This window comes from Homo sapiens, chromosome X (assembly GCF_000001405.40).
Source record: "Homo sapiens chromosome X, GRCh38.p14 Primary Assembly".
Classification (NCBI taxonomy): Eukaryota; Metazoa; Chordata; class Mammalia; order Primates; family Hominidae; genus Homo; species Homo sapiens.
The window spans coordinates 55,862,455-55,866,803 of NC_000023.11; positions in this window are offsets into that span (position 1 = coordinate 55,862,455).

Here is a 4,349-nt window from a genome sequence, read left to right on the forward strand (position 1 = left end):
TATAGTTGAGGTAACTGGGTGGTTGGTGTTGCCATTTAATATTATGGAGAATCCAGGAGAGGCAGGTTATGGATAAAGGCAGGAGTGACATGATGATCCTGGTTTGTGATTATGTGTTTCCCAGAGCCTAATGCGTTGCCAAAATTGTGGTTCTGAGGATTCAAAACTGGGGGAAACACCTGAATTGTAGAGGTTTCATCATCTTGACCTATTTTGTAATTAGATCCCAATATATATACACTGTCTCTTTAAATGTTACATTTTAAATGGTGCAGTGTATTTTATCAGTACTACATGAAGTTTTCTGAAAGCAAATCCATTGTTCGAAAGCTAAAATTGTTAGCCTTGAAGATTCTGTCCTACTGGGTACAATTTGTGAGCATGTATATGAGGTTAAAATAATAGCAAGAAGCTACATGGTGGCATTTTCATACTATTTCAATCCTAAATTTCCTTGTGAGCAGTTATGACATGGTTAAAAGTGTAGCCCCGAAATGAGTTTACCTGCGTTCAAATCCTGGCTCTATCATTTGTTAATAAATGCTTCCAGGAGATTATTTAAATTTTGGCACTCAGTTTCCCTATCTGTAAATTGGAAGACAATAATGATAGTACTGCACAGTTTGTGGGTTTCACTTAGAAACCAGGGCTTGGCACATAGAAAGTGCTATATAAATATTAGTCATTGTTATCAATATCACAGAGCATGGTTTGGTGGAAAAAGTTTCTCTTGATTTCACCGTGAATCAGGAAATTAATTTGGGTTTGAAATTATTGAGTCCTCTAAAGGTTAACCTGATCACTGCTCCTCCGTGACCCAGGCTAGTTTAGGTAGGTAAACCTCACTCATCTCTCCCTCCATCAGAAGACTCACCTATCATACTGCTGTGTCATTTTCTATTTACTTGTCCCAGAGTCTGTAAAAACCATGATGGTAAGGTCTTTGTCTTGTTTATTGTTTAAGCCTACCTGGCAAATAACAGATCCTCAATAAATTATATATTGACTAGATGTATGTACATTCAGTTAACTTCTTTGCTTCATGGTTGCATTGAAACTAACATGAAAACAGAACAAAAAACAAAAACCACATGATTATCTCAATAGATGCAGAAAAGGTGTTCTGTAAAATTCAACACTTCTTCATGTTAAAAACTCTCAATAAATTACGTGTTGAAGAAATACACCTCAAAATAATTAGAGCCGTCTATGACAAGGCCACAGCCAGCATCACACTGAATGGGCAAAAGCTGGGAAGCATTCTCCTTGAAAACAAGCACAAGACAAGAATTCCCTCTCACCATTCCTACTCAATGTAGTAATAAAAGTCCTGGCCAGCGCAATTACGCAAGACAAAAACATAAAGAGCATCTAAATAGGAAGAGAGGAAGTCAAACTATCCCTGTTTGCAAATGACATGATCCTATATGTAGAAAATCCCATAGTCCCGGCCCAAAAGCTCCTTAAGCTGATAAACAACTTCAGCAGAGTCTCAGGATACAAAATCAATATGCAGAAATCACTAGCATTCCTATACACCAACAACAGTCAATCTGCACTCTGAAAGCCAAATCAGGAACACAATCCCATTCACAATTGACACAAATAAACAATACCTAGAAATACAGCTAACCAGAAAGGGAAAAGATCTCTACAAGTAGAACCACAAAACACTGCTCAAAGAAAACAGGGATGAAATAAATTCAAAAACATCTCATGCTCATGTATAGGAAGAATCAATATCATTAAAAGGGCAATACTGCCCAAAGCAATTTATAGATTCAGTGTTATTTCTATTAAACTACCAACGACATTCTTCACAGAACTAAAAAAAAAAAAAAAAAAAAAAGACTATTTAAAAATTCTTATGGAACCAAACAAGAGACCGAATAACCAAGGCAATCTTAAGCAAAAAGAACAAAGCTGGAGGCATCATGCTACCTGACTTCAAATGATACTACAGGGCTACAGTAACCAAATCATCATGGTACTGGTAGAAAAACAGACACATAGAGCAATGAAACAGAACAGAGAACCCAGAAATAGACCATAAGCCATATACCTACAACTAACTGTCTGCTCTTTGACAAACCTGACCAAAAAAAGCAATGGGGAAAGGACTTCCTATTCAATAAGTGGTGCTGAAGTAACTGGCTAGCCAGATGCAGAAGATTAAAAATGTACCCCTTTCTTACACCATATACAAAAACTAACTCTAGATGGATTAAAGACTTAAATGTAAAATCCAAAACAATAAAATCACTGGACCAGACAACCTAGACAATACCATCCTGGACATAGCAACGGGCAAAGATTTCATTATGAAGATGTCAAAAGCAATTGCAACAAAAGTAAAAATTGACTAATGGGATTTAATTGAAATAAAGAGCTTCTGCAAAGTAAAAGAAACTATCAACAAAGTGAACAGAATGAAAGAAAATATTTGTAAACTATGCATCTGACAAAGATCTAATATCCAGCATCTATAAGAAACATAAACGGCTGGACGTGGTGGTTCACGCCTGTAATCCCAGCACTTTGGGAAGCCGAGGTGGGTGGATCACAAGGTCAGGAGTTCGAGGCCGGCCTGGCCAATATGGTGAAACCCCGTCTCTACTAAAAATACAAAAATTAGCTGGGTGTGGTAGCGTGCGCCTGTAGTCCCAGCTACTCGGGAGGCTGAGGCAGAGAATCGGTTGAACCCGGGAGGTGGGGGTTGCAGTGAGCTGAGCCGAGATTGCACCACTGCACTCCAGCCTGGGTGACAGAATGAGACTCCGGAAAAAAAAAAAAAAAGCATAAACAAATTTACAAGAAAAAACACACAACCCCATTAAAAAGTGGGCAAAAAACATGAATAGGCAGCTTTCAAAAAAAGACTTACATGTGGCCAACAAGCATATGAAAAAAAAGATTAACATCACTGAGCATTAGAGAAATGCTAATTAAAACCACAATGAGATATCATCTCACACCAGTCAAAATGGCTATTAATAAAAGGCAAAAAGTAACAAATGCTGGTGAGGTTGTGGAGAAAAATAAACACTTATACATCATTGGTGTGCAGGTAAATTAGTTGAACCATGGTAGAGGACAGTGCGGCAATTCCTCAAAGACCTAAAAACAGAAATACCATTTGACCCAGCAATCCCATTACTGGTTATGTACTCAAAGAAATATAAATCATTCTACTGTAAGGACACACACACATGCATGTTCATTACAGCACTATTCACAATAGCAAAGACATGGAATCAACATAAATGTCCATCAATGGTAGACTGGATTAAAAAAAATGGTACATATACACCATGGAATACTATTTAGCCATAAAAAAAAAGAATGGGATTGTGTCCATGTGGATGGATGGAGGCTATTATCCTTAGCAAACTAACACAGAAGCGGAAAACCAAATACTACATGTACTAACTTATAAATGAGAACTAAATGATGAGAACACATGGACACAGAGGACAACACACACTAGTGCCTATTGAAGGGTGGAGGGTGGGAGAAGGGAGAGAATCAGGAAAAATAGCTAATGGGTATTAGGCTTAATACCTGGGTGATGAAATAATATGTACAACAAACCCCCATGACACAAGTTTACCTATGTAACAAACCTGCACATGTACTCCTGAAATTAACATAAAAGTTATAAAAAATAAATAAAGATAGAGGAGGAAAAATAAAGTAACATGAAATTATTAACCTCTTATTGATAAAAAGAGTCAAATTCTGCAAAATATTCGAAAAGACTTATTCCAAGCCAAATATTAGTGACCATGGCCCCTGACACAGCCCTCAGGAAGTCCTGAGAACATGTGCCCAAGGTGGTCGGGGTGCAGCTTGGTTTTATACATTTTAGGGAGACATGAGACTTTAATCAAATACATTTAAGAAATACATTGGTTTGGTCCATAAAGGGGGGGACAACTTGAAGTGGGGGCTTCCAGCTTATAGGTGGATTGAAAAATTTTCTGGTTGACAATTGATTGAGTTTATCTAAAGACCTAAGATCAACAGAAAAGAATGTCTGGGTTAAGATAATGTTATACCCGAGCGAGTTAGAAAAACGCCACACTTTGAGACGAATTAAGAGTCCTTTATTAGCCGGCGACCGAGAGATGGCTAACGCTCAAAATTCTCTTGGCCCCGAAGAAGGGGCTAGATTTCCTTTTATACTTTGGTTTAGAAAGGGGAGGGGGGTCTAGTTAAAACAATTTTACAGAAATAAAGTAGGCAAAAAGTTAAAAGGATAAATGGTTACAGGAAAGTAAACAGTTCCAGGTGCACGGGCTTTAAGACTATTACAAGGTGATAGACTCGGGGCTTTGGGCGTTATCAAT